This window comes from Homo sapiens, chromosome 9 (genome assembly GCF_000001405.40).
Source record: "Homo sapiens chromosome 9, GRCh38.p14 Primary Assembly".
Taxonomy (NCBI): domain Eukaryota; kingdom Metazoa; phylum Chordata; class Mammalia; order Primates; family Hominidae; genus Homo; species Homo sapiens.
In genome coordinates this window covers 83,739,045-83,755,712 of record NC_000009.12, presented here as the reverse complement: position 1 = coordinate 83,755,712, position 16,668 = coordinate 83,739,045, and the positions used below count along the sequence as shown (strand labels likewise).

General features: G+C 35.8%; 1 protein-coding gene across 5 annotated transcripts in view; it reads left to right on the top strand.

Annotated features, from left to right (window-relative positions):
* The window catches only part of GKAP1 (G kinase anchoring protein 1), a 78,345-nt gene extending 62,057 nt beyond the window's left edge, over positions 1–16,288 (top strand). For all 5 annotated transcript variants that reach the window (NM_001135953.2, NM_025211.4, XM_011519058.3 and 2 more), the window contains 5 exons: positions 2,354–2,455; positions 7,341–7,404; positions 13,113–13,183; positions 13,684–13,761; positions 15,969–16,288. In NM_001135953.2, the coding sequence (NP_001129425.1) occupies positions 2,354–2,455; positions 7,341–7,404; positions 13,113–13,183; positions 13,684–13,761; positions 15,969–16,016 (363 nt within the window). In that variant the 3' untranslated portion in view covers positions 16,017–16,288. The remainder of the gene's footprint in view (positions 1–2,353; positions 2,456–7,340; positions 7,405–13,112; positions 13,184–13,683; positions 13,762–15,968) is intronic.
* The last annotated feature ends 380 nt before the right edge of the window (positions 16,289–16,668 follow it).

Below are 16,668 nucleotides of genomic sequence, written 5' to 3'. Positions count from 1 at the left end.
GCAATTTATTTTGTTTTTCCTTTACCTTTTTATTTTGTTACAGTGGTTTTTTTTTGAGATCTTTCATCAAATCACATCTACCAATCTTTTCCATTTTTCCTCTTTTTTTTGATGTCAATTTCAGAAGGGCTTCTTATTCAAAGATAATAATCATATTCATCAAGATTTCTAAAAATACATATATGGTTTTATTTTTATTCAAAAGTAAAACAGTATTATTCCATGATTATTTACTCAGTATAAAATAATTTTGATAAAAGGAAATTGTAAACAATAAAGCAAAATCTTTGATAAACCCATGTTCACGACAGTTAAAGTTTTGGTGTATGTTCTTCCAGAATTTTTTCTTTGCACACATTACAACTTTGGAATCATGCAAATATTATTTTATAGCTCTATATCACCATTTTTAGTGACTTAGTTTTCAGTTTTTGAATTTACTATATATTTAACCTATATCCTATTGTTTGGCATTTAAACTGATGTCCAGTTTTTTGTTGTGATAAATCTACAATGAACACTTTTCATAGATACTTCCCTACCTCATTTATCTATTGGAGATAAATTCCTAGAAGTGAGATTCCAGAACTTAATAGTAGTATATTTCTAATTTTGACCTACTCACCTCATTGCTTAAACTAGAAACTTAGATTGTAGTGTTCATCTTCCTCACCTGCCACATTCTTTAAACCTTTCATCAAATGCTACCTCCAAATTATTTCTCAAATATACTTCTCTCTATTTATACTGCTTTCACCCTAATCCAAAGCATAATCTTATTTGACCCAGGGTTAGAGTAGTAATTAAAGGATCTTTCTACCTGTCTTACCTCACTCCATTTCATTTCCACACAGCATGGAAAGGGATCCTTTGCAAACATAAGTCTCACACAGTCAAATCTAACCTAGCAGTCCTGTTCAAAATCCTTCACTGCTTTCTGTTTTACTCAGAATAATGTGCAGACTGTTCTTATGGCCTTCAAGGCCCTCCAGGATCAGTTCTCTACTGGCTTTTCCAAAGTCATCTTGTACCATCTTCCCCCTCACTATCTTACCATACTGGTTTATTTTTTTCTTCAAATTCTCCAGGCCCTTCCTGCATGGCCTTCAAACATACTGTTCTTTCTACCTGGAAAGCTCTCACTTCCCCTTTTTACTTAGCCAGTTCCTACCCATCACACAAGGTTCAATTTAAGTGTCACCACTTTAGAGAGCTTTACTAATCTAGAAAAGAAACACAGAATCTTTTCAATTCTGTTCACCATGGTGTACTCAGCTCCTAGAAGTTAGATGCTCAGTGAGTATTTGTAGAGTACTACATTGATGTTGCCACATTACTCCTTAGATAAATAGAACCATTTATATTCTCATCAAAGGTATGACTTTGGGGTGATTTTTTGTTTACACTAAATTTGTTTATTTTGGTATATGGTGCAAGATGACAGGGATTTAACCTGATTTTTCCCAGTTAGCCACTTGTCCTGTAACCTACCATTATTCTGTAATTCAGCATTTTCTCACTTTTTAAAAGTATCATCCTTACATTACAATAAATTCTTATATCTGAAGTCTCTTTCTGGATTTCTTTTCTGGTACATTGTTCTGTCAACCTAGGTTCCATGATTTTATTTATTTTGCCTTATATAATTGATAGACAAATCTTTCTTCATCAAATCAACTTTTTGTTTGCGTCTATCCTGAATTCTCCAGATGAAGTCTTTACTATCTTTTTAAGTTCCAAAGAACAACATCCTATTGGGATTTCTATTGAAATGTTATTGAACTTACAAAGTAACCTGTAGCCTTCCTATTTACAAACATACTTTGTTCTGTGTCATTTTCGAGATTTTATAAATTTCTTAGTGTTGGTCCTGATCACTTCCTAGTTTTATTGTTCTGGTTAGCTTTTCTTGCTGTTGTGAGGAAATTATTTTTCTAGTTCTGTCTTCTACCTGTTAATTGCTAATACAGTGAAAAGCTATTTATTTTAGTTTTCATATTTTTTATTAATTTTGTATTTGTAGTCATTTTTTGAATTTTTGAATTTTTAAGATAGACTAATAACAACAACTTGTCACAGAGCACTTTTAATATGTTTGTTCCAGGATAGAAATATCCTTTGAAAGCCCTGATATTGTTTGTCAGTATGTTTGGCTTAATTATAAATACTTCCTTGCTTGCATTGTGTATTAGGATTATATAATTGAGTGAAAGTAGAAATGTAGTCAACAGCATAAGGTGGCCTCAGAAAATTAAGGTCAGAATTTTTCCTCTTAAACTTTTCACAAAGGAATACTATAAACCAGAATTAGCGGAATAATCAAAGTCCTAAAGTGTTGTTTCTCTCTTTTCAGGAAGTGGTTCTGAAAGATGGAAGAATTGAAAGACTAAAGTTAGAGCTTGAAAGGAAAGATGCTGAAATCCAGAAGCTGAAAAATGTAATCACTCAATGGGAGGTTTGTGTCCATTTACTGTTGTTAAAGAAAATAATTCTATAAATTTTCACGTTTTCTGTTTTTCTTATATGTAAATATGTTTAATATGCAATTCATGGGAATAGTCATTCTGTTTTTTATGTTCTTAAACTCTTTAATGGTTTAAAGTCTGAATGATTATTTATTTATTTATTTATGTTGTTGTTGTTGTTGTTGTTTGAGATGGAGTCTCATTCTGTTGCCCAGGCTGGAGTGCAATGGAGTGATCTCAGCTCGGTGCAACCTCCGCCTGGGTTCAAGCGATTCTCCTGCCCTGAGTAGCTGGGATTACAAGCATGAGCCACCACGCCCGGCTAATTTTTGTATTTTTAGTAGAGACAGAGTTTCACCATGTTGGCCAGGCTGGTCACGAACTCCTGGCCTCAAGAGATCCGCCCACCCCAGCCTCCCAAAGTGCTGGGATTACAGGCATGAGCCACCGTGCCTGGTTGTATTTTGTTTTTTAAAAATCCACTTTATTGTGGTATAGTTTACACATAGTATAATTTATTTTTGTTGTTGTAAAATACATATAACATAACCATTTAAAGTGTACAATTCAGTGGGGCATTAAGTACCTTTATACACAGTATTGTGTAACCATCACCACTGTCTATTTCCAGAACTTTTTCATCATCCCAGGCAGAAACTCTTAACCCACAAAGAACTCCCCATTCTCATTTTCCACACCCCGGTAACCTCTAATTTCTGTGAATTTGCCCATTCTAGGTACCTCATGTAAGTGGAATCATACAGTGTTTATCCTCTTTATGTGTGGCGTATTCACTTAGCATAATGTGGTTTTTTTGTTTGTTTGTTTTTGTGAGACAGAGTCTCGCTCTGCTGCCCAGGCTGGAGTGCAGTGGCACAGTCTTGGCTCACCACAACCTCCACCTCCTGGGTTCAAGCACTTCTCCTGCCTCAGCCTCCCAAGTAGCTGGGACTACAGGCACGTGCCACCATGCCCGCACCACCATGCCTGGCTAATTTTTGCATTTTTAGTAGAGACGGGGTTTCACTATGTTGACCAGGCTGGTCTCGAACTCCTGACCTTGTGATCTGCTCGCCTTGGCCTCTCAGGGTGTTGGGGTTACAGGCGTGAGCCACTGTGCCTGGCCTAGCATAATGTTTTTAAGGTTCATCCACGTTGTAGCATGTGTCAGAATTTCATCACATATTGTAGCTGAATAATTTTTCATTGTGTGTATATATTTTGTTTACTGGTGCATAAGTATCTGAGTCCTTGCTTTCAGTTCTTTTGGGTATGTACATACCTAAGAGTGGAATTGCTGGATTATATAATTCCACATTTAACTTTTCGAGGAACTGCCAAACTTCCATGGCACCTGTGTCATTTTACATTCCCACCAGGAGTGAACAAAGGTTCCAGTTTCTCCACATCCTTTCCAGCACTTGTGATGTATACAATGTATTTTTAACTACAAATCTTACCTCTCCCCTTAGGTTTTTTTTTTTTTAATCTATTTTTTAAATCTGTTATTCATATCAAGTATCATTCCTTTTTGACTAATATGAATTCACTCAACAATTATTTATTGAGTGCCTGTAATGTGCCAGATACTTTTTGCGCCCTGTGTATGTGGTAGTGAAAAAAAATAAATCAAGTTCCAGCCCTGATGGTTCTTACATTTCCCTTCTTCTTCTACTCATGCCTTTAAGAATCATCCCTACTAAAACTTTTTTTGACTGCACCCACTCATTTACCTTAGCTTTTCATTTACATTTCTCTTCGCTTTTTTTTGTACTAGACACAGAGAATACAAAGATGAGTTAGCAAGAAGCTTGTAGATTAATGGGGAAGATAAACATGTAAATAGTTGCAGTACAATGTAGGATATGACAGAATGCTCCAGAAGAACAGACAAAGGAATGAATGAGTTGCTGCTATCAAAAATTGGTAAAGATCTCATAGAAAAGATGATTTTTCCAGGTAGAGAGAATTGTATGTACAAAGGCATGGGAATATGATGGAAGGAAGGTACATTGTGGCTGACATTCAGAGAAATGGGAAACTAGAAGTTGAAATTGCAGATATGAGTTGGGTTCAGAATTTGAAGGCATTTGGATTTTAGAGAGGTCTTTAGGCCGGGCATGGTGGCTCACACCTGTTAATTCCAGCACTTTGGGAGGCCGGGGCAGGCGGATCACGAGGTCAGGAGATCAAGACCATCCTGGCTAACATGGTGAAACCCTGTCTCTACTAAAAATATGAAAAATTAGCCGGGCTTGGTGGCACGCGCCTGTAGTCCCAGCTACTTGGAATGCTGAGGCAGGAGAATCGCTCGAACCTGGAAGGTGGAGGTTGCAGTGAGCTAAGATCGTGCCATGCACTCCAGCCTGGGTGACAGAGTGAGACTCCATCTCGAAAAAATAAATGAAATAAAATAGAGAGGGCATTAAAAATCTTTAGAAGGTAAGTGACATGATAATTATTAAGTAGCTGGCACGTTACAAGCATTGAATAAGTAATTTTTACATGAATTAATATTAGTCAAAGAAGAATACTTGAGATGAATAATAGATTAAAAAATAGATTTTTTAAAAAGCCTAAGGGAGGAGGTAAGATTTGAGGTTTAAAATAAAATGTATACATAACAAGTGCTGGCAAGGATGTCGAGAAATTGGAACATGTTCACTGCTGGTGGGAATGTAAAATGACGCAGCTGCTGTGGGATGATATTGAGAAGATATTTGCGATGATGATGCATGTTGCTGAGGCTTGGAGTGAAGACAGTCTGCTAAAACAATGGATAAGTATAGAGTGTAAGAGGAAGAGCACGTCTTTGACTGATTTGGGGAATGGGAACTAATAGATTTCATTTTGGATATGTTGCGTTTTAAATGGCTACTTTTTTAGACAGTGCAGTAACAACACGTGTATTTAATTTTATCAACTTTGTATGCTGTCTGTCATGAAATTAAATATGCTAGCAAGAATGTTATGTATTTCATATGTGCTCTTTATTAGCTAATATGTTACTGGTATTTTGTACATTTATATTTTTATATATGCAGTTTTTAAGCAATGCAAATAATTGTCACAGGTAATCATGCTCATTTGCAATTTTTGCTTTATGAGCTATTTTAGACCGTAAACCTTGAATAAGAGGTACCTCCATGAAGACTGATCTGGACCTTGAACAAAGGCTTGAGCCAGAGATAGAGTTTGGTGAAATACTAACATAGGTTGGAGCCCAGAGGGTGGGAATTTCATAGCGAGTGTAGTTTCATATTCACAATGAATATTTCTATATTCATAGCGAATATAGTTGTAGTTGAGTGTATGTGTTTTCCCCCATTATATTTTTATGTTTCCATTTGACTGGTCTCCCTTGTTCATTTCTGAGCTTCTCAGCAGTCTTTCTACGTTTATATTCAGTATGGTGCTTTACTTCAGTTTATTGTATTCACTGCAGTATTACTCAGTAAACATTATTTACTTATCATCAACAATTTAATGGACAGAGTACTATTTAGTAAAAGCCATCTTTATTGGACTTAAAACACATTTTAATTTGTTTTTAAAAAATTTGAATCTGGTAACTTCTATACATATCTATGTATATGTTGAGAGGAAAAAAATGATTTTTCTTATATTAATGTTTTCTTTAGGGTTTTGTTTTTCTATACTGTGTTAAATGCTTTGTTTTCTCTAATGTATTAATGTATTAAATCTTTATAAATGATTCAGGCTTGGGCGCAGTGGCTCACGCCTGTAATCCCAGCACTTTGGGGAGGCCAAGGCGGGTTGATCACTTGAGGTCAAGAGTTCAAGACCAGCCTGGCCAACGTGGTAAAACCCCATCTGTACTGAAAATACAAAAATTAGCCAGTCATGGTGGCACACACCTGTAGTACCAGCTGCTAGGGAGGCTGAGGCAGGAAAATCACTTGAACCCAGGAGGCGAAGGTTGCAGTAAGCCGAGATCGTGCTACTGCACTCCAGCCTGGGCGACAGAGTGAGACTCCATCTCAAAAAAAAAAAAAAAAAAGTAAATAAATAAGTGATACAGAGAGTGTTATAAGACATGTTTAATAAGGGTAGCATGGGGTAAAATTGCCTAAAATATGGATGTTAATGTGGGAACACAATCCTTTTTGTTCATAAATGTATACTTGTATCATTTTTGTAATGTGAGAAGAAGCTAAGCCATCTGGAAAAAGAAATTGAAAAAGAGTTGAAAGATATTTGGGTAAAGTACTAATTCATGCCAGCCAAAAATTATAACAGTGATTATTTAGTTAGTGAAATAACAAACGATTAGTGAATCTTCAACTGAGAAGGTATAGAACTGTCCTATAAAATTCAATATCCACTACAAGTCTATCACATTTTAAATTTAAAATTAAAGTTTAAAATTAAAAATTCATTTTTCTCAGTCACACTAGCCACATTGCTAGTGTTCTTTCAGTAGTCGCATATTGGACAGTGACAAATACAGAGCAGATGTAGAAAGTCCTAGTATATTGCCAGACAGTACTGCTTTAGAACTGTGGCTCATTTTTCTTTTGGTTTTCATTTAAATTATTTTGAATTGTATAAGGGTTTTATCTGAGGAAGAAAAGAAGATTATTTAGGAAAATTTAGTATTATCTTGAGTTTTCTCCACTTTTATCCCTCTCTCCTTTAATTTTCAATCACGTATAATATTGATATGTATTATTGTGCCAGGGACTTAATTTAAGTTGTAGATAGTTCCGAATACATTTTCCTCCATCCTGTTTGTTTCTAAAGTAATTATATCTTTGAGCAAGCCAAGAATTCAGAGCTCTGTAAGTTGACAGTAAATCATTAATTATATCACTTACTTTTAAAAAAACTAAATCTTTTTTCTTTGACTATTAGGCAAAGTATAAGGAAGTAAAGGCAAGAAATGCACAATTATTGAAAATGCTTCAGGAAGGTGAAAGTAAGTGGATTTTATGTTTTTGTAATTAAAAGTTTATCTTAAATAATATCTGAAGGTACTTTTTCAAATGTGTGATTTACCAACTCAACAAAAGTGTTTGATAGCACAATAGGGTGACTATAGTTAACAATAATTTGTATATTTCAAAATACCTAGAAGAAAAGATTTGAAGTGCCTTCAACACAAAGAAATGATAAATGTTTGAGTTCCTGGATATCTTAAATACCTATTTGATCAGTACACTTTGTATGCCTGTATCAAAATATCACATGCACCTCATAAATATATATGATTATTATGTGCCAATAAAAAAAATTGAAAAAAAGACTCAACAAAGTAGAAAGGTTTCCCAGAGTGATATAAGCTACATAGTTGGCCAAGCATGGTGGCTCACCTGTAATCCTAGCACTTTGGGAGGCCAAGGTGGGCAGATCACTTGAGGCCAGGAGTTTGAGACCAGCCTGGCCAACATGGTGAAACCACATCTCTACTAAAAATACGAAAAGTAGCCAGGTGTGGTAGTGCACACCTGTAATCCCAGCTGCTCGGGAAACTGAGGCATGAGAATTGTTTGAACTCAGGAGGCAGAGGTTGCAGTGAGCCGAGATTGCACCACTGTACTTGCAGCCTGGGGAACAGAGCAAGACTGTCTCAAAAAAAAAAAAAAATGCTGGATAGTTGCTGATAAAGTTATTATTACAGGTCACTCTTACAGCACCTTAGTTTTATACCAGTTTATAACTATTCAGGTAAAAGAAACTCTTAAAATTTCAATTCTTATAACTTACTGAACTATATTTAGAGGGAAAACAAGCCTAACATTTGCTTAGGATTCTGCTTTTTCAGTTATTGAAGGAGGCAGCCTGTCATCACTTTAGGTTTTCCTTTTTGTTTCCTTATTTCCTTCTCCCCTCCCCACTGCTCTTCATACTTTTGCTGCTACTCTGTAAACTTTTGACAAGAGGTTACCAGCAGGAAGCCAAGGAAATCAATAGAAAAAAATGATTGCAGATGATAAGATTAGTAAAGCTGATATACAAAAGCCTGCCAAATCAGTTGCATTTCTCACTGTGTATATACCTAGTGACATTTATCTTGAAAGTTTTATGAAAATTTTCCATTCATAATAGAAAAAGAAATATATGTTAATTTTTTAGTATGAGACTTAGGCAAAGGAAATTATAAACCACAAAAGAAACACAGATTAAGACATAAAGGAGAAAATCTTTCTCTGAATAGACAAAATTAATCAACAGTTTTCCTGTTAATAAATGCTAATGAAACTCCAAAGATAGCTCCTGTGAATATTGTATAGCTCTTAAGAAATTGTGAAATTCACCTTGAAAAATGAAAAAACAAAATACCAAAAATGGTTTTCAGATGTGAAGATATAGTCAGCCCTCCATATCCATGGGTTCCCCATCTGTGGATCAATCAATTGTGGATCACAAATATATTTGTTGAAATTGTACATGTGCAGACTTTTTTCTTGTCATTACTCCCTAAACAATAACAGTGTAACAACTATTTACATAGCATTTATGCCATATTAGGTATTATAGGTAATCTAGAGGTGATTTTTTTAAATTGTTATTTATTTATTTATTTATTTTTTGAGAAGGAGTCTTTCTCTGTTGCCCAGGCTGGAGTGTGGTGGCGCTCACTGCAAGCTCCGCCTCCCAGGTTCACACTGTTCTCCTGCCTCAGCCTCCCAAGTAGCTGGGACTACAGGCGCCTGCTACCACGTCTGGCTAATTTTTTTGTATTTTTACTAGAGACGGGGTTTCACCATGTTGGCCAGGATGGTCTTTATCTCCTGACCTCGTGATCCACCCGCCTCGGCCTCCCAAAGTGTTGGGATTACAGGCATGAGCCACCACGCCCAGCTAGTAATCTAGAGATGATTTAAAGCATATAGAAGGATATGCATAGGTTTTATGCAAATATACACCATTTTATAGTAGGGACTTAAGCATCTTTAGATTTTGGTGTCCTCGGGATGTCCTGCAAGCAATTGTATACCAAGGGATGACTATACTTGGAATATAACTGTCCAAACAAAATTTAAACTACATTACAAAATAGTTGTCAAACAATGAGTAAAAATCAGAAATCATGTCCAGTTGAACAGAACATGAATACTCTTGAAGTAGGTTCAACCTTATATTTTTTATAACTTAACTATTACACAAATAGAAGTTAAAGAATTATGGGGGGAGGCCAGGCGCAGTGGCTCATGCCTATAATCCCAGCACTTTGGGAGGCCGAGGCAGGTGGATCACTTGAGGTTAGGAGTTCGAGACCACCCTGGACAACATGGTGAAACCCTATCTCTACTAAAAATACAAAAATTAGCCAGGTGTGGTGGTGCTTGCCTATAATCCCAGCTACTTGGGAGGCTGAAGTGCAAGAATCACTTGAACACAGGAGGCAGAGGTTGCAATGAGCCAAGATCATGCCACTGCACTCCATCCTGGCTGATAGAGTGAGACTTTGTCTCAAAAAAAAAAAAATACGGGGAAAAATATTATTTGGACATTTAGATGTCTACATCCTGAGATTAATTTAGACCTGTGCATGTTATTGATCTCCATGTGGGTCTTTTAATGAACAAAGTTATGAAAATAAAAAATTAAGTTATTTAGAAGATATATTTCTAAGTGCAGAAATGAAGAGTATCATTGCGTATTGGATGTATAAATTCTAAATATGTAAAAATAAAATAATATTTCCTCCCCATAAAACACTGTGGAAATTGAGAAAGTTAACTGATAAAAGCTTGCTCTCAAAAATAGATTAAAAATCGCTATCAGTAACAACAGTGTCCATAGCATAAGTAATCCAAGTAGAATTTTATATAGGATCATTACATGAAAATACTTGTAACACTTATAATGTAAATGTAAATATGGTCAGTTCTGTAATAATGCAGCATGTGTTCCTAAAAATCACTAGTCTCTGCAAAATCACACAAGATGGCCAGGCACAGTGGCTCACACCTGTAATCCCAGCTTTGGGAGGTTGAGACAGGTGGATCGCTTGAGCCCAGGAGTTTGGGACCAGCCTGGGCAACATGACAAAACCTTGTCTCAAAAATTATATGTACAAAAATTATCCTGGCATGGTGGTGCACGCCTATGGTCCCAGCTGCTTGGAAGGCTAAGGTGGGAGGATTGCATGAGCCCAGGAGGCTGAGACTGCTGTAATCCTGCCACTGCACTCCAGCCTGGGCAACAGAGTGAGACCCTGTTGATATGGTTTGGCTCTGTGTCTCCACCCAAATCTCACCTTGAATTGTAATAATCCCCAGTTGTCAAGGGTGGGACCAGATGGAGATAATTGAATCATGGGGGTGCTTTCCCCCATGCTATTCTCATGTTAGTGAGTTCTCATGAGATCTGATGGTGTTATAAGAGGCTTCCCCCTTTGCTCAGCACTTATTCTCTCTCCTGCCACCTTGTGAAGCAGTGCCTTCTACTATGATTGTAAGTTTCCTGAGGCCTCCCAGCCATATGGAACTATTAGTCAATTAAACCTCTTTTCTTTATAAATTACCCATTCTCAGGCAGTTCTTTATAGTAGTGTGAGAATGAACTAATACACCTGTCTCAAAGAAACAAAAAATCCCCACAATACTTACGAGAAAAAGGAAGGTTAGAAGCACAGCACTTAAAATCGTTGTCAGTGACACATGAAAAAAAGATGGGAAACTAATAAAAACAGTAACGCAGTTTTACACATGTTAAAATGGTTAAATACATAAATATTACATAAATATGGCACTTTACCTTGAAGAAAACCTGAAGTTTGCTTGTGGGGAAGTAGGTCTCAGAAGGGTTATAGCTTGTGTGTTACTGCTGCATGGTGGAAGGATGGAAAGTTGTCAGACCAGATGGGTGTGTTTCCTAACACACAGTGAACCAAGGTAGCTGGTAGATATTCAAGGAGTACATGTGGGTGTGGTTTTCTCTGTTCATAAAATTGTACATAAGTGTATTGAAAATTTGTGTTATGTTCAAGTTGTTACCTAATACATCAACCTCATTGAAACAAATTTGTGTTTTCAAAACAAGCATTATAGGAGAACTGATTGTAATTGAAATATTACATAACTCTTTAAAATCACTAGTTTTCAGCAAGTGTTTATAATCCTGGGGATGGAGGAGTAGAAAGCATAATTTGTAAAAGTTCCCAGGTTGATTCTTGAGAGACTGAATTGATTCTTGATAGGGTGTTTCATCTTATCATATTAAACTATGAAAATGAATTTGAACTACAATCTTACATTGGCAGAGCTGTGGTGATATCAGTAGTCATTTTCCTCCTTTGCTAATTTTATTACAATTTTACCTCTCTAGTCTCTCCTAGTTTGTTTTCAAAGTGAGGAGTTAGTTTTTCATACATTAGCCGTTACCATGAGTTAAGGAAGTTCTCAGCCATGTGAAAATTTCTGAAGCTTAGGAAACATAGGGCCAAAGTATAGATACCTCGCTTCTCCCAAGAGAGAGAAGCCTCTAGAAAAAAATGAATAGTTCTAAGAGACCACACATGTCATATGATCATTTGTGATCATATGAGCTACATTTAGTTGACATTGCCTTATTGGTATGAAAATTTATTCAGAGAAATATAATTTTGTTGGCATTATGGTATGCTCACCACCCCCAACAATTCAACAAAAAAAGCACTCTGCATTGTTTTTATTTATTTATTTTGAGACGAATCTCACTCTGTCACCCAGGCTGGAGTCCAGTGGCGTGAGCTTGGCTTACTGCAGCCTCCGCCTCATGGGTTGAAGTGATTCTCCTGCCTCAGCCTCCCGAGTAGCTGGGATTACAAGAATGTGCCACCATACCTGGCTAATTTTTGTGTTTTTACTAGGGACAGGATTTTGCCATGTTGGCCAGGCTGATTTTGAACCCCTGACCTCAGGTGATCTGCCTGCCTCAGCCTCCCAAAGTGCTAGGATTACAGGTGTGAGCTACCATAATTGTTTTTAAAATCATGCCTTAAGATTAGTCAAGGTATTTATAAAGTTTTTTCCATATGTGAAATTTTGTTTTCTTGTATCCTTGTCCTATTTAGAGTAGATATAAAAATTAATCTTGCACCATATTTGTGCAATTAAAAAATATGTATTTTTTTATTGACAGAGTCTCTCTCTGTCGCCCAGGCTGGAGTGCAGTGGCACCATCTTGGCTCACAGCAACCACCACCTCCCCAGTTGAAGGGATCCTTATGCCTCAGCCTTCCAAGTAGTTGGGATTACAGGCATGCGCCACCACACCTGGATAATTTTTGTATAATATTTTTTAGTAGAGACAGGGTTTTGCCATGTTGGCCAGGCTGGTCTCCAACTTCTGGCTTCAAGTGATCTGCCCACCTTGGCCTCCCAAAGTGCTGGGATTATAGGTGTGAGCCACCATGCCCAGCAATAAATATTTTAACACCACAGAAAATGTAAAATTTCTAAGAAAAAAATGCTGTGCTGATGATGATCAGAATTTACTGGTGAAAATGTAAAACAAACAAACAAAAAAGAATTTACCAGTGAAAAGTAAGAGCTATGCAAGGTCAAGAAGTAGATTCTTTAAGTATGACAAGAAATCATTGTTCTAATTGCACTGCTATGTCTTAGTTCCCTGAAGTATTGTTGAAGTATTTGGGTGACTGGAAAATCTATACTGCTGTTTTTCCTTTTTTGTCAGTGAAAGATAAGGCAGAAATACTTCTGCAAGTTGATGAATCACAAAGTATCAAGAATGAGCTCACTATTCAGGTAAGGAACTGTGGAGCATACATGACTGGTTTTCTTAAGCTGTCTTTAGTCTTGAATTATTAAACTTAACAAATACAGCTCATCAACACTGTAAGGATGTAGTATAAATTATACTTTATTATTATGTAATAGCCCATGAATGAAGATTCTGTTTACAGCACTAAAAGAGGTAGGTATGTCCTTCCCCCTGAAGAATAGGGGATGATAAGGCTGTATTTTAATGAACCATGAATTTAGAGACAGAAAGGGCCAATAGAACTTAACCCTGTATCTGGGCTTGATTTTTCTCCCCTTCACATCCTTATTGTCTTCTTCTCTCAGGACAGTTTGCCCCATCTTTAACATAGAGCTGTGTACAATACCAAATGGAAATTATGGGGGGAGCTTCTCTGTTACTCATCCATTTAGCTGTCAAAAACCTATCATTGTGAATATGTTAAGAATTGAGTATTTGCCAAAAACCCCAAAAATTCTTTTTCTTATTGAATATTTGGTTATAGGTGACTTCACTTCATGCTGCATTAGAACAAGAAAGATCTAAAGTGAAAGTATTACAAGCAGAGTTAGCCAAATACCAGGTATGCTTTTATAATTTATAAGTGTTTTTATCACAAATAATACATTTGGAGTAGATACTGTGTGAGAATAAATGCAGTATTTTATTCTTAGGCCAAAATTTATTCACTAAATATATTGATAATTTTATTATCGGTCATATAATTTACAATGTAGAAGATGTTATTCTAGACATTGGTATATACAGCAATAACTAGCATAATTCAGGAAAATTCTTGGTACTACATAGATGATACAGCATACATGCCATTGAATCATATTGGGGAAAGGCACAAAAGGACAATTGTCCTGTTTATAAGGTTGATCACTTGGATACAGTGATATCTCCTAGATATCTCCATTGTAAATATATATTTTCCCTTTTATAATTAATATGTGAGGTGATACTTTAAGATTGTATGAATACCCTTTTCATCTAGTGGCTTTAGCATCCATTGATATTTGTGCCTTTTTTTGTGATTGCAAAATAGTGATTTTCTAACTCTATCATTTCTTCTGCATTTACAAGCTAGCATTGAGCAGTTTGTTCCAGGATGAAGCAATTAAAAATACCAGTGCTTTTGTGTGTGTGTGTGTGTGTGTGTGTGTGTGTGAGAGATATATTTATGTGTGTGTATATATATGTGTTTCTAAATCATAATATAAAATACATTAACTGGAATCATAGCCAAAAAATCTCAAAAGCCACTCATGGTGTGGAGAACATAGCAGTTGATTAGCCGTGGCTTTAAAATTGAATCAGTCCTAGAAAGAGAATTCCCTTTACCTGGGATACCTTGAAAAGATTCTTGTGTGTTTGTTGTTTTGGATTTTTAAGAAATCTCATCGAGAAGCATGGTAGGAGTTTTATGTATAGTGGGTGGGTATCTATTTCAAAAAATATTTTTGCTAAGTTTATTTTTATTTTTCTGCTAACTGGAAATAAATCTTGTTTTTAATACATGTCATTACACATCTCCTGTTCCAAAAAACCTATTCATACTGTTTTTCTCTGAATAAATATTGGCAAAATTTTTATATGGTCAGGAGTGAATGACAGCATTCTTATGTGCGAGTATTGTTTCATTTTGTTTTATAATGTTGATGTTGAAATGGTTATTATAGTCAGAAAAAGAATGAAAGAAACAAAGAGAAACTGCCATCATTATCAAATGAGTCTGAGCTCCATATGCCCCTGATACAACCACCTCTCTTTAAGAGATGCACTTCCACAGAAAAGGTAGTTCCCAAACTTGGCTGATCATTGGAATCACTTGGAAACTTTGAATTAAAGATTGTTAGCCAATTAAATAGGTGTGGGACAAAGCCTAGATGTCAGAATTCTAAAAATATTACTGCTTAGGTAATTCTGATGATCAACTAAGTTTGGACACCATTGCCATAGTTTTATAAAAATGGGAAAAACTATACATACAACTATTATAAAGTAAATACATTAAACCATTATTTATGGTTAAATTGAAGGGGGTAGAGTAGCTATTGATGATTTTAATTTTATTCTTTGCATGTTTGTACTTTCCATATTTCTATAATGAATGTTTTTTAAATCAGAATAAAACAGAAAATGTTATGTTATGTTATGTTATGTTAAAATATTTATGTAAAACCCTTCTTGTCCTTTATGCTGCCTTTCCTTTGCTTTGGCTCAAGTCAAATACCACAAATGATGTTTCATATGGAGCAAATTAAATACAAATTTATATATGCAACTAAGCAATATGAAAAGCATAACCTAGTTTTCAATCCACTAATGAACAAAATCAAATTTCTAATGCTAATGTGAGCAAAACGCAACAGAACTTGAATTATAAATTGAATTACCCAAAAGGTAATGAACTGAATTACTAAATTTGCTGATCATATGGAACAAATTTAAGTGTACTGTTTATTTTAGTATTGATCAAAAACTTTATTTTTAATTCTAGAACAGTCAAAATGAGTTCTAAAAAAATAAGATATCGGTGAGCTTACTAAGGCAAGACTCTTATTCAAATAGAAGTAACTTTTCTAAAACCAACCTTAACCATTTATAAAAAATAACCATATTAAAATAATGTAACAGTATGTAGACTCAAATTTACAACAAAATCAAAAAAGAAATTGCTTCCTTCTCATACCCCAAGATGCCTTTGGTCTATATTTTTTAAATGAAGTGGTCCCAAAATGGTATGTTGTAAATAATTTTCCCTATTTTTTTTTTTTTTTACAGGGTGGCAGAAAAGGGAAAAGAAACTCTGAATCCGACCAGTGTAGGTGATTACATTAGCCTTTGAAGTCAACACAAAGTTTAAAACTTCCAGGATTTTGCAAAGTTGTATATATTTAATGCTGTGCAACTGCTAAACTATGCAGTTTTTCTTGAAGGAACTAAAAGCAACTAGCTCCCTAATGGTCTATAATTTTATTTCTTTTGGCTTAAAGTGAAAAAGAAGAAATAGAGAATTCCAGCAGAATTCAGTGGTTGTCTACTATCCATACTTCTTATCACTTTAGTTTTTCATCAGTCAATAAAATTAATTTACTCTTCCACTAATATGTTTGATTTGTTAAGTTTCAGAAACATGAAATGAAAGTATTTTTGCTTACAGCACAGCCAATCAGTTGGGTCCTTTCAGTTCAGTGAAAATTTTCTCAGCACTTTCTGCACACTAAACCCTGCAGGACATGCAAGATGAAATATGGCTGATACCCTCAAATAGCTTATGCTTGGGGGAAGTAGAAGGTGGGAGTGGTTAGGCCGGGTGTGGTGGCTAACACCTGTAACCCCAGCACTTTGGGAGGCCAAGGTGGGCAGATCACTTGAGGCCAGGAGTTTGAGAGCAGCCTGGCCAACATGGTGAAACCCCGTCTCTACTAAAAATATAAAAATTAGCTAGGCATGGTGGTGTGCGCCTGTAATCCCAGCTACT